General features: G+C 44.9%; 1 protein-coding gene across 14 annotated transcripts in view, besides 5 other annotated features; it reads left to right on the top strand.

The window, feature by feature from the left end:
* Nucleotides 2163-2753: an enhancer, noted in NCBI's record as "OCT4-NANOG-H3K27ac hESC enhancer chr5:74351485-74352075 (GRCh37/hg19 assembly coordinates)". NCBI's record gives its function as "activates a minimal SCP1, AML or CMV promoter by ChIP-STARR-seq in primed H9 embryonic stem cells {active_cell/tissue: H9 hESC(primed)}" and the evidence as "EXISTENCE:reporter gene assay evidence [ECO:0000049][PMID:30033119]".
* The window catches only part of GCNT4 (glucosaminyl (N-acetyl) transferase 4), a 37092-nt gene continuing 13839 nt past the window's right edge, over nucleotides 4353-27605 (top strand). For 2 of the 14 annotated variants that reach the window (XR_007058605.1, XM_047417273.1), the window contains exons 1-2: nucleotides 4353-4898; nucleotides 10376-10516. The gene's annotated coding sequence lies outside the window, so the exon portion shown is untranslated. Of the gene's footprint in view, nucleotides 4899-5854; nucleotides 5985-6185; nucleotides 6245-10375; nucleotides 10517-15639; nucleotides 17678-21029; nucleotides 21282-27605 lie in introns of those variants that run through there. The other 12 variants (XM_047417277.1, XR_007058606.1, XM_047417276.1 and 9 more) reach the window with 12 other exon arrangements.
* Nucleotides 4599-4968: a silencer, noted in NCBI's record as "silent region_16100". NCBI's record gives its function as "represses an Ori minimal core promoter by ATAC-STARR-seq in GM12878 lymphoblastoid cells {active_cell/tissue: GM12878}" and the evidence as "EXISTENCE:reporter gene assay evidence [ECO:0000049][PMID:35858748]".
* Nucleotides 5089-5138: a silencer, noted in NCBI's record as "silent region_16099". NCBI's record gives its function as "represses an Ori minimal core promoter by ATAC-STARR-seq in GM12878 lymphoblastoid cells {active_cell/tissue: GM12878}" and the evidence as "EXISTENCE:reporter gene assay evidence [ECO:0000049][PMID:35858748]".
* Nucleotides 5359-5608: a silencer, noted in NCBI's record as "silent region_16098". NCBI's record gives its function as "represses an Ori minimal core promoter by ATAC-STARR-seq in GM12878 lymphoblastoid cells {active_cell/tissue: GM12878}" and the evidence as "EXISTENCE:reporter gene assay evidence [ECO:0000049][PMID:35858748]".
* Nucleotides 20638-21837: an enhancer, noted in NCBI's record as "P300/CBP strongly-dependent group 1 enhancer chr5:74332401-74333600 (GRCh37/hg19 assembly coordinates)". NCBI's record gives its function as "activates an origin of replication core promoter dependent on BRD2, BRD4, P300/CBP, MED14 and CDK7 cofactors, with strong dependence on P300/CBP, by STARR-seq in HCT116 cells {active_cell/tissue: HCT116}" and the evidence as "EXISTENCE:reporter gene assay evidence [ECO:0000049][PMID:35650434]".

Here is a 27605-nt window from a genome sequence, read left to right as displayed (position 1 = left end):
CCATTCTCAGTTGGTTAATATGTATTTTATTCATTTATTTAACAACCATTTAATGAGCACCTAATATGTTCCCAACATTTCTTTAGGTGCTAGGAATACAGCAGAGAATAAGATAAAGCTCATGCCCTCAGAGATAGTATGTCTAGGAGCAGAGTAAACAAGCAACAATTTAATTTCAGATAGTAATAAGTGTCATAAAGACCACAGAGCAGGAAAAAGGCCAACAGGTGATGTGGAGGTGGGACAGGCCGTTGTTCTAAAAAGAGTAGCCAAGGAGGGCCTGTTTTCAAGAAGTCACATCTGAACAGTGAACTGAGTAATAACTGCTTACAAATTCCATTGCAACCACACTTATATAATTTTTATTCTATATGTCTCATGTGTCCTGAATTAGATGAGATTTTCTTTTGGTCAGGAGCTGTCTTTTATATTTTTGTACTCTCCCATAGCAACCAGTGTAGCACTATGCACAACCAAGACTCAGTGAATCACACTAGAATCAAAAGCATTTCAAGCTTAAATATATTTTTAAAGATAGCCAGCAGAAGATTCAGCAAGTTACCTGCTTGCCAAGCAAAGGAAAATCCAGGGAAACACATTAAATCATCAGATACTCAGCCCAACACTAGACTTCCTGCTTGCTTTCCGTTGCTAGTCATAGTTGCAGATTCTTATCAGAAAATTTTCAAAACATGCCATGATCTGGTCGTCTGTGTATAACTTTACACATTGGTGAGATCAGATACTGAGTTTTAATTGTCAATTTCTGCTGGCATACCATCCTGTAATGTAATTTCTTGTTTTTTACTCAGCTTCCCCTCAACTTCTCAGTGTTCTGAGTGCCCTCAAAGTTTCATTCAACCCCTATTTCTTTAAGATAATCAGCGAAGTTCTGCAGAAGCCCACTAGATCCTATTAAGTCTCTGAAGGCCTAAAGGAGACTTCAATACACTTGCAAATCCTCTGAAGGTTTAGTGAAACCAGTTCAGATGTCTGGGGAAGGTTTTTCACAATTCCAGTTTGAGATTCACGTAGCTGTTAGAAAAACTTTCCATTTCTTGCAGGATTCTCTTTTTCTTTAAATGCTTTCTTTGGACCAAAAACAATGCAATAAATACTGGAAGGCTGGCCCACGAGCCAACATCATGGGGACATTCCTAACTGAGGAATATCCATGCAAATATGCTTCATATCAACTCTATAAATGATTTGCTGTTTGACCTTTGCGAGTTACTTGACTGTTTGAACCTTGGGATCCTTGGTTATAAAATATGATGTCCCTTTCTCTGATGACACCCAGGATTGTCATAAAGATCAAATAAAATTACTGAAAGAAGAGAGCACTTTTTTTCTTTTCTTTTTTTTTAGAAGGAGTCTCACTCTGTCACCCAGGCTGGAGTGCAGTGAAGTGATCTCAGCTCACTGCAACATCCGTCTCCCAGGTTCAAGCGATTCTCCTGCCTCAGCTTCCCAAGTAGCTGGGATTACAGGTGCCCGACCCCACGTCGGCTAATTATTGTATTTTTACTAGAGACTGGGTTTTGCCATGTTGGCCAGCCTGGTCTCAAACTCCTGACCTCAAGGGATCCTCCCGCCTCAGCCTCCCAAAGTGCTGGGATTACAGGCATGAGCCACTGTGCCCAGTGAAGAGAGCACTTTAAAGCATGCTAATTGTTATAGCATTACAGCATGCTATTAGTACAGTAAGAGTAATTCACCATGTTCTTATACTCAGGATGGTAGGTATTTGCATCCCTTCAGTCTTTCATTTCTGCATGAAACTCAAGAAGCAAAATTCTGCCAGCATGCTCTTCCCCTTGGAGCTGTGTTTCTGAGAAGCTCTCCTTATTTCTCTTTGCTTTTTCAATTTTTCCCTCACAGATGTGTTTGAATCACCCTCACCTTTGAGTGAAGTCTTGCAGCCGTATCCTCAGTGAATGTGCCCCTTTGGCTGAATTCCTTGTGTACAGCTGCCATTTGGTCCCTAGATTTTCATTTGGCTTCAGTTAGTTGGCTCTTAGTGACGCCTGTCTTTATGTTCTCAGTGCAAGGACTACTTCTGTAACTAGAGTTTCTTGGAGGGCAGGGGCTGTGACTTACACCTCTTTGCATCCTTAGCTCAGGCAATATGTTTTTATTAACAATGACTTTTGGAGACTGCACCAGGTTAAACAGCATTCTCTGAAAATTCATGTCCACCTGGAACCTGTGAAAGTGACCTTATTTGGAAATAGGGTTTTTGCCAAGTAATCAAGTTAAAATGAGGTCATACTAGATTAGGGTGGGCCCTATGTCCAATGACCAATATCCTTAAAGAAGAGGGAAATGTGTTTGCAGAGGACACACAGGAAAAGGCCAGAGACTGGAATGATGCATCTGCAAGCCAAGGAATGCCAGGAATTATCAGCAATCACCAGAAGCTAGGAGGGGGCACAGTGGGATCCCAGCCTTGCTAACACATTGATTTCAGGCTTCCAGCCTCCAGAGCTATGAGGAAATACATTTCTGTTGTTTTAAGTTGTGCAGTCAGTGGTATTTGTTAGGCAGTCCTAGGAGAATAACACAGGAATGCTGAGCACAATGAGCATGCTTACAATGTGGCAGAGACCATTCTGGGGCCACTACCATCTTTGGGCAACCCACTTTCAGAAGACCTGCAGGGCCGGTTACAACAAGTTTTTAAGGGATGAAAGAGAGTAACCTGGCCAAGCGCAGTGGCTCACATCTGTAATCCCAGCTCTTTGGGAAGCGAGGCAGGCAGATCACCAGGTCAGGAGTTTGAGACCAGGCTGGCCAATATGGTGAAACCCGTCTCCACCAAAAATACAAAAATGAGCTGGGCGTGCTGGTGTGCGCCTGTGGTCCCAGCTACTCAGGAGGTTCAGGCAGGAGAATCGCTTGAACCCAGGAGCGGAGGTTGCAGTGAGCCGAGATTGCACCACCTTACTCCAGCCTGGGAGACAGAGCAAGACTCCGTCTCACAAAAAAAAAAAAAAAAAAAAAAAAAAAAAAGCGTAACTTAAGGCAGTGAGTAGAAAGGAGAGGGAAACAGCTGGGTATGGTCTGAGAATAAAACAATCCAAAACAAAAATTGGAAACTTTATGATGAATAGGTTTTTAAGAAATAGTTTGCTTTAGGACAAAATAGTTGATTTGGAAGTTGGAAATAGAGGAGCAAGTGAGTGAATGGATATCCACTTTATGACATGATACACGCAAAATAATAAAATTGACCTCTTTAGGAGGAAGTGCATGTATTTCCTAGCATGGCTTGTTTGAGATGTGTAAGCTGTGGTTAATGATGGCTAGTGGTCCCTTTAAATTCCAGTCTTGGAGACCTCAGTGGTTAAGAGCATGGACACCATTCAGACCACCCACTTACTGGCAAGTTATGTCACCTCACCTGCCTCCCTCTCATCATCGGTAAAATCAGAATTAAAATAGCACCTCCCTCATAAAGTTGTGAGGATTGAAAGAGTTAATCCGCATAAATTGCTTAGAACAGTGCCCAGGGTGGATAATAGAAGCCTTAATTGTTTTTACCATCATGACTATCGCCATCATCATGTGCAAATGAGGGAGACCCAGGAAGTGTAAATTATTATTCCAGAAAGAGGCGGTCCCATGGGGAGAAAATGAAGGCAAAGCTGGCCATTTGCTTGAAAGTACGTCTGTAAAACGAATATTAAAACACTTGCTCTCCGAACACAGGGAGTTTTTAAAAAGGCGTGGGGGCTGGGGTAGACTTAAAGTCTCTCTACTGCTTTGGGCAGATTCCAGATTCTGGGAGTGAAGCATATGGGGACCCATGTGACCCTCCCTCTTTGAGATTCACTGGGTCCTAGGTCCTAGGTCCTACCCAGCTCCCCACCCAACAGCCATGCACATTGCAGGCCCTCAGTCAACACTGATTGACGCAAGGGATAAAGGAACAAACCGACTGGGATTGACTTGTCTGGTGCCACTCCCTGCCCTGAAAGGCAAGCCCTGGGAGCCCCCGGCCCCGAAAGGACGTGGAGCCTCGCGGGAGACTCCTGGAAGTGCGTGAATAGCAAGCACAGCGTGGTGCGCCCGCTTTACAAAGTTAGCATATTCACAAGAACCCGCTCGGAAGGCCAAGTCCTTGATGTCGGCCAATTGGTTAAGTGGCTGTGTGCTTTCTTTCCACTGCACTTATTCGGTGATCCCGATTGGCGTCCGCACAGCCGCCACCCTCACTCTCGCTTGAGGATAAAAAGCAAGCCGATTTGGCATGTAGGCACTGTTTGAAAAACAACTTTGCACTCTAGTTATTCGGCAAAAAGCTCCACCTTCCCACGCTGCTGATAATATTTCTCGCGGCTGCGTGGGACACTCCTCGTCTCACCCATGAGAGCGAGCTGCCTTCTGTCTGGTTGGGCGATTCCTGCAGGGCCTGAGCCTCCGCAGAGCCCGGCGTTCAAGGAGAAAAAAGGAGCCGCGGATGTGAGTTTGCTTCGTCACTGCCTTGTGAGCGACTTTGGGCAAGTTACTTAGCTCTCCTGACCTCAGATTTCTTGTCTAATGTGGGAGGGAACCGAACGTGGATGACGCTCCGGGCAGCGGCGGAGAGCCGAGATCACCGCGCGCGCCTGAGAACTTTGTCCGAAGCGCGGCCCGGGGACTGGGAGCGCAGGGCAGGGAGCTCCCTCTGCGGGAGCGCGGAGGCGCTCCTACTTTCTCCGCACGTCACGGGGGCCGCTCAGCGCTCTCCCACCCCGGGCCGGGCGAGAGCGGCTCCCCAGCAGGGCGACGGAGGAGCGCGGCGAGAGCGAGCCGCCGCGGAGAGCCTGGGAACCCAGAGCGCAACCCTCGGCCCCCGCCGGGGCGGCCTCCGCAGCCGCACGGACCCCGCGTTCGGGGCTGGCCCGCTCCCTCTCGTAAGTCGACTTGGCCACGCGGGGGAGCGAGGGTCGCCCGGGGCTGGAGATGTTAACCCGGTCTCAGCCTCGTCTCCGCCGGGACGCCCCGACCCTCTGCTCCTCACGACTTTCGTTTTCCCGCCGGGGAAAACTTCGGCGCCGCGTCCATCTCCAGGCGGCAGGCGGGGGCGCCCTCTCGGAGCCGCGCGGGGAACCGGGCTGAACCCCGGCCTCTCTCCGCGCCTGCAGGAGCCCCGGGGCCACCAGAGCGCGCGGCGGACGGACACAGCGTCACGGGCCGGGTGGGCGACCCGGCGCGCGCCTAGCAGACGCCGCAACTTCGGGGCTCCCCGCGGCAGCCGCCGCCTGCGGCCAGACGCGGGGAAGTTCCCCGAGGCCAGCGGGGGGAAAGGGCAGCGGGCGGCGGGCGCGGAGCGTGTCCTGGATAACGGGCGCGGGCCGCGGAGCCGGCTTCCTGGGCTCGCGGGCGGAGTGGAGCCGCCAGGCTGGAGTCGCGAGCGCGCCGGCGCCGGGCTTTCCCGGGACTCTCCCCAAGTGCCAAGAAGCGGCTCGTGGGCGCGCCCTTGCCGGGAGCAGGGGCATCCCGCCGTCCTGGCCCTTCAGAGCCCAGCGCCGCCCAGCCTGGCCCGCGCCGCTGCGAGGCGCAGGGGGCCCGGGGGAGCTACTGAGCCCGGCTTCGTGACGCTTGCCTTTCGGAGCCGCTTGCCGCTTCTCCGCAGCCCTGGACCAGAGGGGACAAGCGATGCTGCCCGAGCCCCCGCCCCTGGGCTTCGGGACAGGGACGCGGGGCGCCTGAAAGGACTGCTACCGCGGCTTCTGCGCCAGGGCAACCGGGGCTGGAGGGGGCCTCCGAGTTGTTCTTTGGGGGCGGAAGCTGCGGGCCGCGCCTCCCAGGCCGCGCCCTTCCCAGAGACCAGTTTCTGGGCTTTTTAAGGTCAAGTTTTTTGTGCCGCAGAGCGGGCCGGGATCGTCTGCCTGCGAGGTGGCGGTGCCTACCACAGCGGGTCGGGAGCTTCTGGGATCCGAGCCGAGAAACGGGACGCTCGAGTCCATTTGCAGTCTTCACGTAGGAAACGGTGCTAGGTAAACGGGGCGAGTGGGTGTTTTGTAAATTTAAAGACTCAGCTTTCCCTGACGGGGAAGTTTTCCGAGTCACGTAGTCTGGGAAACAGTGTATTGTCCCCTCGTTGGGCAGGCAGAGAGGCGATATTGGCCTTGGGGCACTTTTTAAATTCATTTTTTTCTTTTTCTTTTTTTTTTTTTTTTTGTCTTTAAAAATGGAAGAACAACAAACCAGAAGATTAACAGAGTTGGGGCTAATATAATGCGTTTAATTGTCTCATGTGAGTAGACAGAAGTCGCCCTTTTTGATCTTGCATTCATAAAACATGTCCCTATTAAAGCATCAATAAGCCTAAAACATTCTAGAAACTAACAGTTCATTCTGACAGCTTTTGTTGATAGTCTCTTAAGGAAGTAAAATCTTTAAAAGTGAAAAAGTGAATCATTATAGAGAGCATATCCTATGTTGCACTTTCTAAGGATCCAATTTTGTGTGAGAAATGACCAGTTAAGATGTGTTGTTGATTTATCTCTTTCTGGTATCAGGAGAGAAACAATAGCCAAGGAACTGTGTGGCCGCTGAATTTTCTATGGGGAGACTGAAAGGAGTTTCCTGCTGCGGGGTGGTGGTGGGATGAGAAGGTTTATACTCTTTTCTTTGGGGGAAAAAGTTTATACTGATTTGCTAAATGTCACATCTCCTGCACAGAGGTAGGTGGGGTGAATGGCATAGTCGGGCAGTCAGAGTTAGCACTTTATGGCACCTGGCCAAGTGCCTTCAAGATAAGCAGGCCATAAATACAGGTGCTTCCCAAACTGACTTTGAATGACCTATGGTTGTTTTCTAGGAAGGGAGAGGGAGAGAGAGCAGGTAGAGGGCCCTGTACCTGACGGTGCTGTTTCTGCCTCATCCTTGACCCACGGGTGCTGGGAGCATGACCTGGTGACCTGGGGCTTATCACAGCACCACATAGGAGAGGTAAAACGGAGTCAGCTTCAGGGGATTTCCTTCTTAGGCTACAAGGCGGGAAGAAAGCAGTGAGACAGTAAAAATGAGCAAAGCAAGGCTGAAAAGTGAGTTCTTCAGGCCACCTGTGTTGAGCACTGGCTGTGAACCAGGCTGTGAACTGTCCCAATGTGAACAGCGCATTGGCTGCTGTGAGGCGCAGATGTGCTGCAGCTCACTGCATCTGTGCTGAGGCAGGAGGCCTTGCTGGGGAGACTGAAGGTGGGCTCAAGGATGAGTGGGAGCTGTGTAAACTAAGCAGCCATGGGGGAGGGGAGAGGTGAGAAAGGGGAGTATTCCCATCCCCGGGAATGGTGTGTGCTGAGACCAGAGGAGAGGAGAGCCTGAGAGGTGGAAGAAAAGACAGGTTCAGTATGACCTGAGGGGAGGATGGAGAATGGCACCGGGGAGGCCAGCAGATACCACTGCCAGGTGATGCCAAGGGGCATTGTGGCGAGTGGATCCTCAGGACAGTTTCACACCTGATAGTACGCAGATGAGATATGGATTAAAAGCAAAACAAAACTCCAGCTGCCCCGTGGAGAATGGACTTGAGGAGCCCCTAAGTAGACAGGGCTGGGTCAGAGGGTGCAGGAGGCCTGGCAGTTGAGACTGAGGTAGTGCCAGTAGGGATGACACGTTGGGCGGATTCAAGGCCGGCTCTGGAGAGACCTGGGGCTGAGTTTTGTGTAGGGTGTGAGAGCAGATGAGTTTTGTGTAGGGTGTGAGAGTGCAGCGTGACTCCCTCTAAGCTTGGGTGCTGGTATTTACGGAAACAGGGAACATTGGAGGAGGAAAGACAAGTTTGGTTTTATTGGGTCTGGGCAGCTTTCGAGGCTCCTAAGTGGAATGGCTTCCCTAGTGGCCACATAGTGCACTCGCTGGCTGACTCTCCACAGATGGTGGTCCTCTGTACGAGGGGTGTGGTCTGAATCCTGGGGTGGATGGGGTGGGGCGAGGCGGTGGTGTCTGAGGACTGGAAGCTGCTCCCAGAGTGAGAGGTGGGACGGAGGGCTAGGTACTTTAAGATGAGGGAGCCTTAGACATATGTGAATGCGATGGAGCGAGTTGGAAGGAGAAGCTGAACACACAGGATGTCTGGATCCCCTCCCCCTTGGATTGCGATGGTATTTTGATATCAAGCTCATGTAATGTAAACTGTCAACATCTTACAGAAACAGTGTTTTAAAGCACGTGTGACTGCGAGTGATTTACTTCACAGATCATACAAATGTAATGTTTAGGAGAAACATGGATGATAATCACGCAACAGAGATGCAGCATGGCTAAGAGCAAGGCCTCGCAGTGAGACTGCTGAGCTCCTGGGTCTGACTCTTGTCACTGCCTAGCTTAGGACCAGGCCCAAGCTTCCTGACATTCCTGTCTCAGTTTCCTGGTCTCTGAAACGGCACCACACCTAAGGGGTACGTGCTCTACAGCACCTCCTTGTGGGCTGTTGTAAGGATTGCCTGTGTGCATTATGCAAGCACATAAAGTGCTCAGTAAACCTTAGTGCTGGTGGTTTTATTATCATGATGCCATTTCTATCATTTCTGGTTGTAGAATCTGAAACGTAGAGAATGTTGAGAACCTGTCCAAGCCCATACAGCCAAGGAATGGCAAAGTTAAGGCCAGGATCCGATTTGCCTGACTCACAAGGCAAGGCACCTTCTACTTAATGTGTCAACAAGTGTCAGGTGCTCGATGCTGTATAAAATTAACTGTAATAAAGGGATCCAGTCACTGCTTGCCAGAGTGTAGTGAAGCAAAGCAGATAACATCAACATTGAGGCTTACAGACTTTTCTCAAGCAATTTAGAGATGTATGTTTTGTATTAATTTGCATTACTTTGCATGTCATTTATATGCATTCCCATATGCTTGTAATTTTCCTAGTGGGATCTAAAGACTGAAGCTTCAAGTATATAAGAGAAAAGAAAATTAATCAGGAATTGAATGCAGCCGTTTCCATCCTAATAGATCTCTGGGGATGGTGGGCTCAGTGTGGGCATTTGGAGACAGGATTGGATCAGTATTTACTATTTTAGATGTGGGGAGCCAGATATCATTTGATAAAGGTAGCTCACAACTTAATATGTTATGAAGTTTGATCTGCTGAACGTAACAGAAAAATACAGGCAAAGTGGAAGAAGACCAGAGGAAAAATGTCTACCATATAAGATGCCAGAAAATGAAGCAGAAACAGAAGTCTGCTTTATGAAGCTGAACTAATAAGAAACACTAAGGGGCAGAAAGGAAAGATTGAATTTCTGCTAAGCGATATGAAATGTTAAAAAGAACAATCTTAATCACAAATGTGTGAGGCTTCAAAACCAGTAAATTCTTCCCAATGTGGATTTACTGAGAAACAGGCCATCGGGTCTTAGTGGAATCTTAGAACTACAGAGTATTACAAAAACAAACTACAATTTTGTTACTTAGAGCAGCGGTTCTCAAAGTGTGGCCTCAGGACCAGTTACATCAGCATCGCCTGGGAACCCGTGAGGCTCAGCAATTTGTGTTTTAATAAGTTCTTTAAATATTTAGAGCCAGCTTTCACTCCTCTATTGAGTCATTACTTCTTCAGCTTTAACCTTTCCAGGTCCGTCTTGTGGTCACTAGCTTCTCACTGGGCTGCTTAACTTCTATCAGTTACTACCCAGCAGAGGGATGTAGCCAGACATGAACTCATTTCTCAGGGTGTCTGCTCAGTACAGAGCAGAGTGGGTTGGTCCCTTCCTTAGTCCCAAGGTCTAAACTGTGGAAATGCTTTCCTTTTTGGGTGGTACTATTCATAGAAACAAGGATTTGCAGCCTGCATTCAGCTTTCGCATTCTGCAGCTTTGTGGTTCGCATGCTGTCCAGGAGCACGATGGTTTTGGTTTTGTTTTTGTTTTGCTGCATTTTGCTTTCTTTTGACAGTCTCGAACTAAACTGTGACTCGTGCCAAATGTATGGTCAGCCAAAACACTGAACTGTCCTCTAGAGATGCTCTTGTCAAACCACGTTTCTCCACGAACCACAATTCTCCATGAACCAGGGTTCTCAATTAACGAATACAGTTAATTTTTTGCACGTGTTAGTTTTGTACTTCTCTCTGTTAAAATTTATCTTACTAGATCCAGGTAATCTGCTTGGTTCCTATTTCTGTTATTTTCCATATAAGCTGAGTCTCAGCTTTGTGTCCTTTGCCAATTTGGGTGCTGATATCCTGGTTGAGGGGTTAATAATAACGTGAGCATCTTTGTTAGAGGCCTTCCTCACAGTTAATGAGGCTCAAAAACTTGGCATCTTTTGCAGTCCTTCTGGGTTAACATCAGAGGAATAGTTGTCATCAGTGCAATCATTGTTTGCATTTAAATTACTGTTATTCTAAAGTCCTCCTGCACATGGTTTCTCTTTATAGGGCCCATGTTCTAGAACTACATCCTCGGTCACTGTCCCAGTACAGCCATCTGTAGCACCTCCTCAGTAACTGACGGTGATGTTCCTTTCCCTACGCTGTTTATACCATCAGCCTGGGGTTTTCTTTGGAGGTGACACAAAGGTAAGTTTCAGTTTATTTATAGTCAGATTAAGATGAATTCAGAAGCTTCAGAATAATAGGAAGCAAAAAATTGTGCCTTGTAATTTCTCTCTGCTTTACCTACCTCCCCCAAGCTCTAAAACCTAAGAGTTTTGTGCTAAAGTCTAGATTTAACCAAGAGATTCAGGTTATTTAATTTAAAAAAAAAACCCTAAAATGTTGCTCATACATGATTCTTAGAGGAGTACAATTAGGTAATATAATTGCAGAAAATTGTTTTTAAAGGCAAAAGGCAGAACAACTTTGTGGTAGGAATGCTTTTAGCTGTGGTTTCTAGAGCATGAAAAAGTACCTGGAGTCCTAAACTGTTGTATCATTATCCTTAACTAATCCAAGTCAAGCCTCCCCCAAAACCCCACCCACAGTGAAATTCCAGCCTTAAACCAAACCTCAACATCTCAATAAAATCCAGCCACTCTCCTCCTCCAAGATGCTCCAAAATGCTTCCAAACCTCTTTTGATGCCATGTGCTCCCTTGCCATAGTAAGCAAATCAATAATAAATAAATAAAATGGAAAAAACACCTGGTGATAATAAAGTTCTTTGTAGTCTCAAGTAAATCTCTGTTGTAGGGAAGGCAAAAATTTACCTCTGCACTCCTACAGTTTTTCAGTTGGGCCTGAGAATTAAATTGACTTAAGAAATATCAACAGGAGACAAGCACACAAATTTATTTAATATAAGTTTTATGTGACAGGGGAGCCCTCATAAGGAAATGAAGCCCCAGAGATGCAGTGAGAATTGAACACTTATATAGTGGATTGGAGAAAGTAGGAAATTATAAAAATGTAGCAAGGCAAAAAGAGGCCTGGGCTAGGGTAGTTAACTGGGAGAAGCAGCTAGGAAGATAAGGGTTGTGTAACAAAGTTTGTACAAATTTTTCTCAGCCACAGCTTTCTGTCCTTGATAAGACTGTTAAGTAGACTGTCCGTCAACTTTCTCATTTCACTTAAGGATTTCATCTCCTGCATCTAAGAAACGGCACGAAGGGCAGAATGGTCTTGTACCTGCTATTTTGCAAGTGCCGTTAACTCAAAAGTCAATATCAGAGTGGCGTATTTTGGAGTGGCCTATTTTTAACTCCTTCCCCAGGAATCCTCTGTGCTTCTAGCTCTTTTATTGCTTTTCATTTCCCTCCCCTGTGCAACCCCGTCTTCTCTTGTTGGTTTTCTGGGTTTTCTGGTTTCTAATCTAGTTAAGGAGAAAACTGGCAAGGATGACCCTTTGGAGAATTGCTTCTTGGCTGTGCCCGGGCTTGTCCAGTCAGCCTGTCTGCTCTTGGGTAGGTTAGACCTGTTTCCAAAGAGTCTGCAAGCCCTGACATTTCTCATGGTCATCTACAAGATCTGGACAGTCCACGAGAGAGCAGCTCCTTCAGATTGAAGCAGAGGGGGGACAGTTCGGCCCAGGACCAGAAGGAACAACACCTAGCGGAGTTCCTGTGGTTGCCAAGGCTCCTTTTTTTCTTCCTTCTCCTGCTCTCTGTGTCACTGCAGCATATTTGCAATATTTGTGCTGTGTCCTTTCTCTACACCCCCACATTCTACCTCAGTGGAACAAGGAGGAGCTCACTCTGCCCAGCCATCACCTTCTACCAGGTTCCTTCTTCCTTTAGCCTTTCCAGCAACCCTCCTGCCCTCTTCTGAGGTTGGCAAATTCAGAGAGACATAATGGCAGATGTGTCAGGAGAAAGAAATGGAATGATACACAAGGTAGACACTAATTAGGTTGCAGAGTTACAATGTGAAAAAAACATTAATGGAATGATTGTAGAGCTGAAAGATGGGATGCAGAACTGGAGAAGAGATCCTCAGAAAGGAAGAACATCATTTCAACTGATGTTGAACATTGAATTGAACATCATTCATTGAATTGAACATCCATTCAACATCATGGCAAGAAAATCCCTGAATGTAAAAAAAAAACATTTCCAAATGCTAGCTAGTGACCTGTCTTTTCTGGAAAATTTCTATAGAAAAGAAATTCAAATGTGACAAAATAACTGGGATTTCTTGAATTGTGTTATCAGTCACTTAGGACCTCACTGTTTATTTCTCTCTGCATTCCTCCAGGCAGTAGAGTTTCTAGTTGTATCTCTCCAGAATCTAACACAGTGCCTCCCTAGCACATGGTAGGCACACAGTAAATGTTTGTGGGATGGATGGGCAACCAGGATAGAAACTGGATATCTAAGAATATAAGGTTTATATAGGGGATATTCTTGAACGAGTGAAGGCAGGAATTCAAACAGGTGTTTGTACACCCTTGTTCATAGCAGAATTATTCGCAATAGCTGAAAGGGTGGAAGCAAAGCAAATATCTACTGACAGATGAATGGATGACCAAAATGTAATGTATACATACAATGGAATATTATTTAGTCTTAAAAAGGGAAGAAATTTTGACACACACTACAACATGGATGAACCTCGAAGACATGTTAAGTAAAATAGGCCAGTCAAATATTGGACAAATATTGTATGATTCCTATGATATAGAGGCCTAGAGTAAACAAATTTGTAGAAACAGAAAGTAGAATGGTGGTTGGCAGGGCCCAGAAGCAGGATATTGTGGGGTTAGTGTTTAATTTGTATAGAGTTTCAGTTGGAAAATGACCGTGTTCTGTGGATGGATTGTGGTGATGGTTGCACTACAATATGAATGTAATTAATGCCACTGAACTGTACACTTAAAATTGATTAAAGTGGTAAATGTTATGTATATTTCACCACCATAATAGAAAAAAAGAATATGTTCATCAACTAATTCATAAATAAGAAACAAGAAAAGTTATTTTTATAACAAAGAAGTGAACCAGGTAATACTTGGAAAGTATAGGTTATAGCAAGAAGACAGCAATGACACTAGACCTAAAAAATATTCAAAACTGTGCTACTAAAACTGTGTTGCCTGAATCCTAATATGGGGCAGAGACTTAGAGCTCTTTCATTCTGCCCTCTCCCCATTATCCCTATGATTCTTTTTTTAAAAAATCAATTTTTTATTTTGAAAAAATGTCAAACCTGAAGAAAAATTGTAAAAATAGTACAAGTGGGCCCTTGTCTGATTCTTCCTTCACCATGAGAAGCGTGGAGGCCTTTGATGTGGTTTCTGTACCAGTCTACCCCGCAGAAATCCGTGGCTGTTGCCTTTGGAGATGGTGTCTGGGTGCGGGAGTGCATGCAGCACGCTGAAGCTGAAGCCCAGTCCTTGTTTACAGAATGGCCACTGGTCAATGACACTGGGCTGCTTCAAATGCTTTTGATCCCTTACCATCATCCAGCCCTGTGCCAGGCTGGTTTTCCTGCCAAAATGTGCCCAGTGCATTAGCTCATTTAGTCATCGCAGTAACCGTTTGAGTCAGTGCCCTTGTTCCTCTTTCACAGATGAGGAGGCAGAAGGCTACTAGATTAATGACATTATTAGCAGCAGACTCAGGACTTCAGTTCAGAACCATTGGCTTTAAATTCTAAACCTGTATGATGTACACAGAAGTAAAGCAGGAAGGTAACATGGAGGGGGTCCAGTGTGGGGCAGAAAGAAGAGGAATGGGGTCAGGCAGCAAGGGGAGGGAAAAGGGGCACATTCAGGCGGTGGCTCAGAACTATTCAACATGGTACTTGTTGGGTTGATATCTACATGGTACTGATAGCTATTTGTTGAAAAGCTGGTTCCAAAGTCCCCTGTTACATAACAAGCTCTCAAGAAGACAGCCCACCTGCGAGGTGACCTTCAGGGATTATGTGACCTGTACCCTGCCTGTGACTAGAAACCATACACAGAGGAAGTTTGCCATCAGCTGAAGAGTGCTTAACTGAGGCGTGGCGAGCAGACTGCACAGTTCTTGCCAACATCAGAGTTAATTTGGTAAATCTTGGCATCTGCTTTCCTTCAGATATTTACCTAAAGCCTCCATCTGCCTCTAAATATAGATGGATGAGAAGTTCAGCATCATTTAAGACACATTATTTTGCACTTGGCTATATATAGGAATGTACTGTTGTATAAGTAGCCACTTTAATCTGGTTTAAATTTAATTTGGCTCCTGGACATGCGTATGTATATGTTGGTTAAGCATTTCCTTTTCCTACGGTCATCTTTCAAAGTGCACGTTGCTTAAACATATAAGGGCTTACTTTTCTCATGTAACAGGAATTCAAAGTGGGTGTTTGCTAGTGGTGGTTCAGTGGCTTGAGGATACGGGGGCTGAGGTCTCTGATATTCTCTTGGTCTGTTCCTCATGGTCTCAAGGTGGGTGCAACAATTCTAGCCATCATATTGGAGTTCCAGGCAGAAAAGTGGAAGAAGAAGAAAAGAAAGAACAAAATGGCGTACCTCCTACCTGAATCAGGCTCCTATAGGAAAACTTTCCCAAAATCCCACATTATATTTTATTCCTCTACAATAGAAGTTAGAGGAAAGTCTTTTCAAGAGACATGTTTCTACCACCAACAATATAGGGTTCTCTTAGTAAAGAAGAGAGGATGGATGTTGGAAGGCAACTGGCTCTCTACCAGAGCCATATGTAAAACCCTTACCTATGGATCTGTTTCTGGATTTTATCCCACAGATCTCTTTTTATGCTGGCACCAGACCATACTGTTTTAACATCATAATCTGTTGGAAAATCTGAAGAGTCTGGTTTTTGCTTTTGCTTTGTATACAGTTGACATATAAGTTGGCTTAGACACTTAGTAAACTAAACAATCTTTTTACTTTTTATTAACCTGAAATAAAACCTACGTATTGAGAAAGACCTGTTAACTTAATTAAAACTACGGCTAGAAGGGATCCTTGTAGGAGATGGCTGTTGGAGAGCTTTCTGGAATCATTTCTAGATTTGACTTTTGGTAGGTTGAAATCTCTGCTTTTGAAATTCCTATTGTGGCGGAATTTTCCCAAGCACTGCAGATTTTTATTTCTTCCATCCTTTTAACTTAATTTTTGAATTCCTGAGTCTTAATTTTATTGTGTCTAATATGCACACAAGATCTGAGAGCAATATGTACATTTTAAGCCAAGAAACACACAGATCTTAGCTAAATGGTGAAGTCATGCCAAGAGCTGCCAATCCTGTTTTTCAGTGGAAGTGCAGAAGCATGTTGAAGTCTCCAGCTGAGCTCCCCACCACATTGGAAGAACCCAGAAAACAAACAAGCAAGCTCTTCTCATGACTTAAAACTCAGGGTTTTCAGGGTGATGATTTTAAACTCAGGGTGTCTAATCCATTCATGAAGAGTGTGGTCTGGCCTCAAGCCATTTCTGACATCAATACCCTTGATTCATGTCTGTTTATCCCTGTGCTGCCTCTGCGATGGACATGGAGATTCTACTTTAAATGCACATTTAGAAATCAGTTACCCATACCTCTTCAGCTAGCCATGGAATCTTTGAGGAATTAATTTTGGCCAGTTGAAAAATATGGAGTTAGCCATATAATACCAAAATAAATGCTTCCAAAAATTTCTGAGGGGGAAAAAAAAGCATACCATGTAGATATTAGGTGGAGAAAGTTATTTTCTTTCTAGTGCAATAGATACACATTTTCAAAAATAGACATGTTTTTCAATTCAGTTTTTCTACTTTATAGAAAAAGAAGCCAAAATATTCTCAACCCATATTTTTAACTTAGAACATGAAACATAAAATGTAGTTTGGCTTTATGTTGTGTCAAGCTAAGTGAGAAGGGCAGAGAAGACGGGGATCCCAAGAAGGAATGAAACCTCTTTGATAAAGCTTGAGAGGCAAAGATGTAATGCATTCATTCACCCCTTTTTCATAATCCTTTATATCTAAAAAGAAGCAAACGTTTCATGTGAGCTTTTTCATCAAACTGAAATTTGAAGGCATAAGTATTTTTGAAATTCACCATCTTCTGATATTTTTTAGAATTTTCTTTAGAGAAAAACTGTTAATGTTTTACTCCCTTTTGAGGGTCACAATCTATTACAAAACAAAAACTTTTCATTCAGTTTCATTGTATGTGGCCCTTTACACTTCCTGCTAAAGACTTTAGCCATGTATCTTTGCCCAGCTAGATACACACACAGTCAGCTTTTGATATTTGCCCTGTGGACCAGATGAAATAAAGCCCAGAATCAAGTCTACTGTTTCCCAATTGGTGTGACCATGGGCTGAATTCTGCGCTTCTTTTTGTTGTTGTTGTTGTTGTTACATTGCTACAGCCCAGATTTCCAATGACCTTGAGAGGTCTATGCGTGGGTATGTACATCCTGATGTGGGTTACTCATTTCCCATGTAATCTTACAGGTCCTTTATTTCTGCCCAAATGTGAGAGGCTCCAGTAAAGTTTCTAGCTAGAAGAATTATAATCTATAGAGGTGGTTGATAGAATTATTTTCATGCTCAGTGTTTTCCTTTAGGTCTCTATTCTCCAAATCTTGCAGGTAAAGTAGTCCTTTATTCAGGGAAGATGATGACGTTCATAATTGCAGGCCTAGAGAGAAAGCTGTCAATTGTCATACATTCCACAGGAACATCAAACAGAGCTCCTTTAGTTGAGGGCATCTCAATTCACTGAGCTGAGCCAGTCTCACTGATGTGTGATCTGAATGACAGAGGACTGGCAAAGGCCCTGGGTGAGGGTGTGTTTGTGTATTCACATTGCTGCAGAATCTTCAGTACTGCTTTGTGGGTTCCGTGGTCCTTAGGGATGGCTTCACCAAACAGGGATGCAAGAACAAGTCATTGCATTTTTGCAATACCTGGAGAATTGCCCATAAAAGATAATGAACTTACAGGAAAAGCTTATAGCTTTTGCAACACATACTTACAGACCGCGTTTAGCCAATCATAACTGCATGAAACTGATTGCACGTGCTCTTGGCTGTCTTTTAAATAACTTTTTTGGTTATTAATCTTTTGAAAAATATCGAGCATACTGGGGAAAAAACTCTAAAGATTAACTACATTTCTTCCTGTCTCTCAAAATCCAAGACAGGTGTTTGTCTACATAATTCTGAAACTTTAGGGACAATTTATACTCCAGATATTAACAAAAAAGAATGCTGTCAAGTAGTGAAAAACCAATAATGATTAGAATGTCAGAATGAAGGGAATAATGAATGTACTGTTTTAGAAAAATAAAACCAACTTATAACACATTGACTCTTTCTCAGTTTTCCCAAGAAACCATTCCTCTTGTGGAGGTCCTCATACCTGACATTTGCATACCAAAGTTGTCTTTTTCCCCATGACTTTCACATACATTACATCATAAGACTTTCACAGTTGCACTGTGGGATAGAAAAAACATTATCCCATTTAACACATGGGAAAGAAAGATTTGCCAAGATTAAGTGATATGCTAGAGTCACTTGAAGAATTTTTTGTGGCAGAGCCCAGACTAGAACTTAGGTCTTCTGACTCTGTCCCATTGAGCAACTACCCCGTACCAGGTATGGATGTCTTTAATACTGGGGGTAAAGTAGTGAGTGAGGCCTTCAAAGACCTTATGTTTCTGTCTCAGGACAGGTACTAAACAAGTAAAGTAACTACTCCTTGTAGCAAGTGCTCAGAAGAAAACAAGGAGTGTGATAGGAGAGAGATTTAAGAAGGGTTAATCTGGGAGGCGGAGGTTGCAGTGAGCTGAGTTGGCGCCACTGCACTCCAGCCTAAGCGACAGTGCGAGACTCTCAAAAAAAAAAAAAAAAAGTTATCAGAGAGGACCTGAGGAAAAGCTATTTCTTTTCCTGGAGCAGCTGGTCATGCTAGGATCCAGGAAAAGTAGTCTAGACATGGAAACAGGAGTTGCAAAGATCCTGAGGCAAGGAAGAGACTAGGATGTTCTAGGAACTTTTAGAAGGCTGGTGTTGCTTAGAGTTTTATGAGAAAGACAGAGTAGAATAAGATGAACTCGTAGAGTAAGGCAGCCATGGGAACTGCCTGGGCCTTTATGGACATGAAAAGGATTTCTTATTGTATTCTACATGACATGAAATCCCAATGAAGGGTTTTAGATGTAGGGAGTGGGATTAGGGAGGGGAAGTGATCTGATTTGTATGTTTAAAAAATCATTTTGGCTACAGTACAGAGAATGGATTAGAGGAAAGCAAGGGAAGCCAGGTAAGGTTATTTTGTATCTAGGCAAGAGTTGATGCTAGCTTGGGTTAGAGAGGTTCCCATGGAGTGGAAAGAGGTGGGTGGATTTGAAATACATTTTGGTTGTAGAACAGGCTCTACTACTGCCAGGAGATTGGAAAGGCAGTCTCGAATTGTGGTTAGTAGTATAGGCTCTGAAATTGGACCATAGTTGAAAATTGGACCATGGTTGAAAATCCTTGCTCCTCCAATATACTAGCTATATGAACTAAGGTAAGTTATTTATCTTCTGACTTGATTTCTTAATCTGAAAGATGAGGATAATGATAATCGTACCTATCTCATAGATTTACTGAATGGAGTATAGAATAATTGAATGGAGTATAAGGTAAGAACAATAAGAGGCCGGGTGCAGTGGCTCACGCCTGTAATCCCAACACTTTGGGAGGCCGAGGCAAGTGGATCACCTGAGGTCAAGAGTTCGAGACCAACCTGGCCAACATAGTGAAACCCCCGTCTCGACTAAAAATACCAAAAAAATTAGCCAGGCGTGGTGGTGGGTGCCTATAATCCCAGCTACTAGGGAGGCTGAGGCAGGAGAGGAGAATCGCTTGAACCTGGGAGACAGAGGTTGCAGTGAGCCGAGATTGTGCCATTGCACTCCAGCGTGGGTGACAGAGTGAGACCCTGTCTGAAAAACAAAACAAAACAAAACAAAAAAAAACAGTGAATAAGATCATGGAAATAGTGCTATCTCTTAGCATCGATCATTAGGAAGGGACAGGTATGTGTCGCTGACTCTGGCAACATGAAGGCTTTTGTTGACTTTAGCCAGAGCAGGCTCCATGGAGTGGGGAGTAGAGCCAGTCTGGACCAAATGCCACCGTAAGGGACCTGAATAGGGGCAGTTGGGCATCCCTCCTCTGTCCAATCCCTTGATAGGGAGCAGTTGGATAGACACATACTGCTATGGTCTGAATGTGTTCCCCAAAATTCATGTGTTGAAATTTAATCACCAGTGTGAGAGTATTAAGAAGTGGGGCCTTTAGACAGTGATTAAATCATGAGGGTAGAGCCCTAAGGCATAGGACTAGTGCCCTTATAAAAGATGTTTTGGGGGAGCTCATTCACCTCTCCCCCCCTTTGCCCGTCTGCCCTTTGCCATGTGAGAACACAGCAGCAAGGCACCATCTTGGAAGCAGAGGGCAGCCCTCACCGACACCAAATCTGTGCCTTGATCTTGGACTTCCCAGCTTCTAGAACTGCAAGACATAAAAGCCTATCGTTTCTAAATTATTCAGTCTAAGATATTTCATTATAGCAGCAGGAATGAACCAAGACACATATGTAAAGGGGGAAGGTGTTCCCAGTACCCCAGGAATGAGATGGGGTTAAATGATGGCTAGACACATTTAGAGAAGAAATATGGGCTCAACCACCTGTAAAGTTATTTTCCGTTTTAATATTGCACTTCTGGGCTTCTTCAGGAACTGTGGGTTTATTAATTAAGGATTGGTGGAGAAGACCTAGATACATGAATTCTATTATTTGAATGGTTTTTTTCCTGTAGAAAAGTATGTTTACCTCTGTTAGGATTTGTTTACACTGTAATAATTTACAGACCCAGTTTAGGTTAGGACTTGTTCATAATATACTGTGAAATGAAAGAAACAGGTAAGACAATGCCTATATAGTGAGACTGTTATAAAGCAAAGCCAAAAAAAAAATGTGTTTCTTAAAACCAGTCTGGAAGGATATACTGTCTACAAGATGTTATTGCCAGGTGATGGGCCCCTGGTGAGCTTTATTTTCGTTTTTGGACTTTTCTGATTTTTTTTTTTTTTTTTTAATGAAAGTGGTTTGGGTTTTTTTGTTTTTCTGTTTTTTGTTTTTTTTGTTTTTTGTTTTGTTTTTGTTTTTTTGAGACTGAATCTTGCCTTGCCCAGGCTGGAGTGCACTGGCATGATCTCAGCTCACTGCAACCTCCATCTCCCAAGTTCAAGCAATTCTCCTGCCTCGGCCTCCCAAGTAGCTGGGATTACAGGTGTGTGCCACCATGCCCGGCTAATTTTCTGTATTTTCAGTAGAGACGGAGTTTCACCATGTTGACCAGGCTGGTCTCAAACTCCTGATCTCAGGTGATCTGCACTCAGGCCAGTCTGCCTCAGCCTCCCAAAGTGTTGGGATTACAGATGTGAGCCACTGTGCCCGGCCTGAAAGTGTTTACTTTATAAAAAGAGAATAGAAAATCTTTTCCTTTTAGAGACCATATCTTATTATTATTTGAGAAATGCTTGTCCTCAATTTGTATTGGATTTCTGACCGAGTCATACGTCTCCTTGTGTTTTGCATAGTTGGTATGTTTACCTGCTCACAATCTGATTATTATTTGCTTTTGCAATCTTTTCTCCAGAACAATAAGAATGTAAGGTCATCTAGGCAAGAAACCTGTCTTTCCACTCCTCTGCATGACTCCTGGAGTGCTGTGGGAGTGTGGAGGAACTGCATCTGACTGAGTCATCCTCCCACCTAATGGTCTCACTCCAGAACATCCCCTGGGCTTGGCAGTGAGCGAGTCACCAAGGGAGAATCAGTGACTTCATTGAAATCAAGGAGCTGCAGTAGCAGGATGTTAGCTTATTCAACTAGATCAGGATGCTTTTTAGTGAGTTCGTCTTTATATTGATCTTCTTAACTGGTGATTCTTCTTAGTAAGGCTTTAGACAGAAGCAAAAGCCCTGACATTTCTAAATCAATAAGCTCTTCATATCCTATTTCTCAAACTGATATGTAATAATACAAAGTTTAAGAACTTTAAGGTGGCCTGAAGAGGGAATATTCTCCACATGAAGAGAAATTTAACCCAGAAAGTTTTCTAAAACAATTAGCAATTCTCTGTGCTTAAATGGTGTCACAGATAACTATAAGAACAAATGAATCGATAGTCATTGGTGACAGGATACGGGACAGGAGTAACCAATGGCAGAGTCCCTCAGGATGAGCTTGCTCTCTTTTCCTTGAATTGATTCTACGGGCTGGAAGACTGACTAACCTCTTCATTAGCTCATTGATCAGTCTCAGCCTCTGACTGCAGAGACAGAATGTGATTCCTCACCCAGCATTCCTCCAGGCTCATTCTCCATGGAAATCATCTCTTAAACAGGGTGGAAGATCTCCTCGACCATGTTTGGGATCCATTCCTGTTCCTGTTCTAGGACATTTAGAGAAGACATAGTAATGAGAAAATTTAGTCAAGTGCTAAAACTGTTGCGGGAAATATGGAGAATTTTTTCTTTATATTCTGAGAGACACTATTGCATAAAGGGTTAAAAGTGCAAGTCTGGAGCAAGACTCTCTGAGTTCAGGTTCCATTTAAAGCACTTTCTAGAACTGTAACCTTGGGCATTTATTTAGTTGTCTTACAGTGCCTCAGTTTCCTTTCTTATAATAGAGGGATAACAGTAGTACCTACCTCATCGATCTCTTGAGGGGATTGAATTACATCTAGAGTACTTAGAATAGTGCACCTAGTGACAACTCTTGATTGAGTGATTCTACATTATTAATAACTACAGTATGGCCCTTGAACAACACAGGTTTGAACTTCAGGGGGTCCAATTATACACAGGTTTTTTTTTTTTCAAGTAAATACAAGTTGAAAATGTAGTATTTGCAGAATGCAAATCCTACATGTATGGAGGGCCAACTTTTCCCATACCTGGTTCCTCAGGACTGACTGTGGGACTTGAGTGTGCATAGATTTTGTTATGGACGGGGGCCCTGGAATGAATCCTCTGCATATACTGAGGGATGAATATACATAAAATTAATAAAGAGCATTACATGGAGGCCTTCGTGCACTAATTCTAAAATACTGAATTTGTTAAGACTTTGTGGAGAAATAGGAGGTAGATTGAAAAACAGGACAATAAGCCACAGGTCTGGGCAGGATCTTTAAAGAAGCCATGAAGTCCCTAATCATCTCAGATTTTCCAGTACCTGCAGGTATCAACAGTCAAGTTGCAAAACAGCAAAGATGGCGGCCTGCCCATCCCTCTGGGAGCTGCATCCCAGGGAGGTTTGAAACCTCTGTCAGTCAGAAAGCGCCAGCGTTGGGGTAGCTGGAGACCCCGGTTGGGAGGTCACACCCGGTGAGGAGGAACAGGATCATAGAGCTGCTTTAAAAAGCAATCTGGCCACATTTTCCTAGAGTAGTCCAGCCCCATTTTTAACAAGAAAACTGGCCTTCAGAGAGCTTAAATAGTTTGATCAAAGTCTTAGAGCTACTAAGAGTTCGTCCAGGGACTCAGGCCCAAGGTCTGTGGCATCCTGAAGCGCAGCTCCTTTCTTCCTCTCTCCCCAGTGCCCCACAACCTGTTCCTGAAAAAAGCTCAGGCATTCTTGGTCCCTAAACTCAGCCTTACTCTGTCCTTTTTTCCTCAGTCTTCCTCTCATTCTTGACTTACCATTCCCCTTTCTTCCCTGGGAAAGGAAGCATCTGTACTTCTTTGAAAGTCCTGGGTTTTTAAATTGCCAAGGTAAGAAGAGTTAGTTGAAGAGCTGCTAATGGTTGTAGCCATTTAGCCCTGAATGCAGTCGTGCCTACCTAGCTGGGGTGTCCCTGAATGCGGTCGTGTCCACTTAGCTGAGGTGTCCCTGAATGCAGTCGTGTCCGCTTAGCTGGGGTGTCCCTGAATGCGGTCGTGTCCGCTTAGCTGGGGTGTCCCTGAATGCGGTCGTGTCCGCTTAGCTGGGGTGTCCCTGAATGCGGTCGTGTCCGCTTAGCTGGGGTGTCCCTGAATGCGGTCGTGTCCGCTTAGCTGGGGTGTCCCTGAATGCGGTCGTGTCCGCTTAGCTGGGGTGTCCCTGAATGCGGTCGTGTCCGCTTAGCTGGGGTGCACCTCTGTGTTCTTGCTGCTTCCTTGAAGGCTCCAACAATGCCTGGATGGGTTGGGAGAAGAACATGGTTTGAGGGAAATGCCTCATTCAACATCCCTATTGGGACTTTAGTGAGGAGTAGGTTTTTACTGAATTATTATAGACCATATTTCACCTGAGTTATAGCCACCAAACCTTGCAACAGCTTTTTCAGTTCTGTCATCACTAGGAACTTGTGCCTATGTGGCAATAAACTCCACAACAGGTCAGACCTCCTTGTCTACCCGGGCAGGTAGAAGGGGAAATACCGCTTCTCCCGTGGGTGGGGCATTATTTGTAATGTAATTGTAAGACCACTTCCTGGCAGCAAAACACTTGCCTGCTTCCTGCCCATAAGCCTTTAAGAGGGAAAGTGCTGGGTGCAGTGCTTGCAGAAGGTGACATTGCTAGCCTGGTCTCTTAGGAACCATGTGGCCAACATGACAGCCAGCCTTAGCCCAGCTGACTCTGGTCAGACCTAAGGAGCTGGTTCCCATTCCTCCAGGCCCGGGGCCTCTACCAGCCCACCTCCACCCCCTGCAACTTGTGTCCCCTGGGGCTGTGCTGCTCTGGGGGTGTACCCCCTGCAGAGCCCAATGGGAGGGTCCCAAGGGTGTTATGCAGATGTTCTTTTCAGAGGAAGCCAAAGCCAGCTGAACCAAGGTTGGGGACCGGTGGTCCTCTCCAACCTCCTGCCAGCATTCCCCTCACTATTAGTGCCCACCGCAGCTGGGAAGAGGCCAACATCCCCTTTTAGGATTTGACAGAAACTCCATACCAAGTGGCTTTGCACCTACGCACCTCTTTGGGGAAAGGAATGCTTTTCAGTTAAAGGTATTTCTGTGCGGCCATAAAAAAGAATGAGTTCATGTCCTTTGCAGGAACATGGATGAAGTGGGAAGCCATCATTCTCAGCAAACTAACACAGGAACAGAAAGCCAAATACCTCATGTTCTCACTCATAAGTGGGAGTTGAACAGTGAGAACACATGGACACAGGGAGGGGAACATCACACACTGGGGCCTATCGGGGGGTGAGGAGCAAGGGGAGGGAGAGCATTAGGACAAATACCTAATGCATTCGGGGCTTAAAACCTAGATGACGGGTTGATAGGTGCAGCAAACCACCATGGCACGTGTATACCTATGTAAGAAACCTGCTTGTTCTGCACATGTATCCCAGAACTTAAAGTAAAAAAAAAAAAATAAATAAATAAATAAATAAAGGGATTTCTGGCCGTGGTAAGCAGGTGAAGGGGTTTTATTTTGATTTGGGACAGGGTAATATTGGAGAGGGCTGCTCCTTTCAAAGGATATCAAAGGCTGACCCCAAGACAAACAAACTCTCCCCCTTAAAGATGCCTTGGGCGAAGGTATATCAGAAAGCGAGGTGCCTGGGCTGTCCCATTTTCCTACCCTTCTTTCTTTGAAATTCACTCTCATTCCTGGCTCTCAGATGTGGGCCCCTGAGCCAGTTTCCAAAGGACTTCTCACTGGGTGCCTCCCACCTCTTCCTTCCCTGGATGTCCTGTGAGCTTCTATGTCTGGGCAGGCAACCATGACCTCCTGCCCAGCTCAGACTCTCCCATCCCAGGCTAGAGTCAGTATGTGTGTGCCCCAGGCCTTCTCAGGAAGGGCAAGGATGCCTGGATGCAGAAGAGGCCCTGGAAATGAGTGACAAGGCAGGGAGCTGGCCTTTGTCTTTTTTATTTAAGTGTGAAGATGATAGTTAAATGACATGACAACTCTGGGAGACTTGGTAAATCTCTTTAGAATGTGAGGTCTTTTCTTTTTACCACTGTGGTGTCAGGGGGAAGTGCTAACATTAATTAGAGACTCCATGGACTAATACAGTGAGAAAAGAAATAGCCAAAATTTACTTTGAGTTAGACCCCTTCCAATTCTAGCCATTTCTGTAAGCTACATACTATTTATACCTAATAACCATGAATTAATCACACACACACACACACACACACACACACACACACACACACACACACACACCCCTATTTGGGATTGATTAGTCTTCTACTGTACCACAACACCCAATTCTACACATGTGCCCAGGCTTCTGGAGTTGCAGTGAGTTGCCTTGTGTGTCAGGCAAGGGAGTGGGGACAGTTTTCCACAGCTTTAGAACAACTGGCAAGAACCCTGGCCTTGAGCCTGAGTGATGGGACCCTGTTCAGTGTGCTTTGGAGGAGCAAAAAGCTGAGACCAGTCAACAGACCCTGGGCTATGAGCCTGACCAGGAGTCTCTTAACCTGGGTGCTGATGCAGCAAAGATGCTGTCTGGACTTGGCAGCGGGGATGGAGAAGAAAGGATGGATTTGAGGCACATTTATGAGGTGATAGGTTGACATGGGTATGAGTGAAATGGACAAGTTGGGTAACTCTAGTTTCAAACATGGGCCATGAGTGGATGGTCTTGCCATAAGTTGAGACAGAAGACGCAGGCGAGGTGATGATGTCGAGTTCAGTTTTGGACTCGTGGAGGCTGAGTGCCTGTGGGATATCAGGAAGCAATGTCCATCCAGCAACTGCAGGTCCACCTCTGAGGCTTGGGCAAGAGGTGAAGGCTGGAGGGAAAGGTGTTGGAATATGGAAAGGCATCAGTGTGGAAGGTGGAATCTGGAGATGGGGGCAAGTATGCAGGAGAAGAGAAGTGAGCAGAGGATAGGAGCCTGGGGCAGTCCACAGAGGAGAGACGAGATGTGGCTGGAGAGGTGGGATTCTGCAGTACAGTTGATGGTGGTGAAGGTGTGGTTCTTTAAACAGAGGGATTTAAGCGGAGGTGAATGAGGAAGGTGGGATCTCATTCCCAGGGGAGAGTTTTGTCAATGGGTCTGTATAGATGAAATCTACAAAATTAAACTGGGTTCCAAGTTCTTGGCAATTCTCTTGAATGAAATTGGATACAATGATTGTCTTCCATTTAAGGTTTATTGAGATATGTTAGGAAATTGCACAGGGGTGCTCAGACCCCACCAGGTCTCAGTATCTGAGCCTCCTGAAGCAGCCCTAGGAGCTCTGCCAGCTTTCCTGTCCTGGAGCCTTGGGCTAGTACTTCCTGGGCCGCCCTTCTTGCTGCTCCCTATAAGTACATCTGTACCCTCCTCCTAGTCAGCCTGTTTTCATCTGAAAAAGTAATATAATCATTTTTAAATGCAAATGATACTAAAAGATATTCAGTGATAAGTAAATCCTCCTCCTACCTAGGCCCCATTCCTCAGTCCTTTCCCACTCTACCCTGCAAAGCAATTCCCGTTACCAGTGTTGTGTGTATACAATATCCTTTTGGAAACACTACAGCTGTGGGCTGAATCCAGCCAGCTGCCTGTTTTTGTAAATAAAGTATTATTGGAACTCAGCCACACCCACTCATTGAAATATAATCTCTGGCTGCTTTCCTACCATAACGGGCGGAATTGAGTAGTTGTGACTGAGACAATATGGCCCACAGAGCCAAAAATATTTACTATCTGGTCCTTTAAGAAAAAGTTTAGGCTGAGGGTGGTGGCTCATGCCTGTAATCCCAGCACTTTGGGAGGCTGAAGTAGGAGGATCACTTGAGACCAGGTGTTCACGACCAGCCTGGGCAGCACAGTGAGACTCCGTCCCTACTAAAGAAAAAATTAGCCGGGCATGGTGGCACACACCTGTGGTTCTAGCTACTCAGGAGTCTGAGGCAGGAGGATCGCTTGAGCCCAGGAGTTCAAGGCTGCATTGAGCCATGATTGTACCACTGCACTCTGGCCTGGGTAACACAGCAAGACCTTGTCTCAAAAAAAAAAAAAGAGAGAAAAAGTTTGCTAATGTATGTTCTTTGTATGTATAGACATGTAAGCATACTAGACATGCTTCTGCATTTTGCTTATTTTTATTTCACAGTATATCTTAGAGATTGTTCCCCATTGGCATGTACATGCAGAGTGGTCTCAGGCCTTTTCACATATTATAGCATGGATGTAATTTAATCAATGCACTGTTCAAGGATGTTTGAGAGATTTTCTGTCTTGCCTGAATACAAAACACTGTAGGGAACCTCTTTGTGCTTGACTTTGCACAC

Source organism: Homo sapiens, chromosome 5 (genome assembly GCF_000001405.40).
Source record: "Homo sapiens chromosome 5, GRCh38.p14 Primary Assembly".
Lineage (NCBI taxonomy): Eukaryota > Metazoa > Chordata > Mammalia > Primates > Hominidae > Homo > Homo sapiens.
The sequence above is the reverse complement of the archived record's forward strand: the minus strand, read 5'-3'. Positions and strand labels throughout refer to the sequence as shown.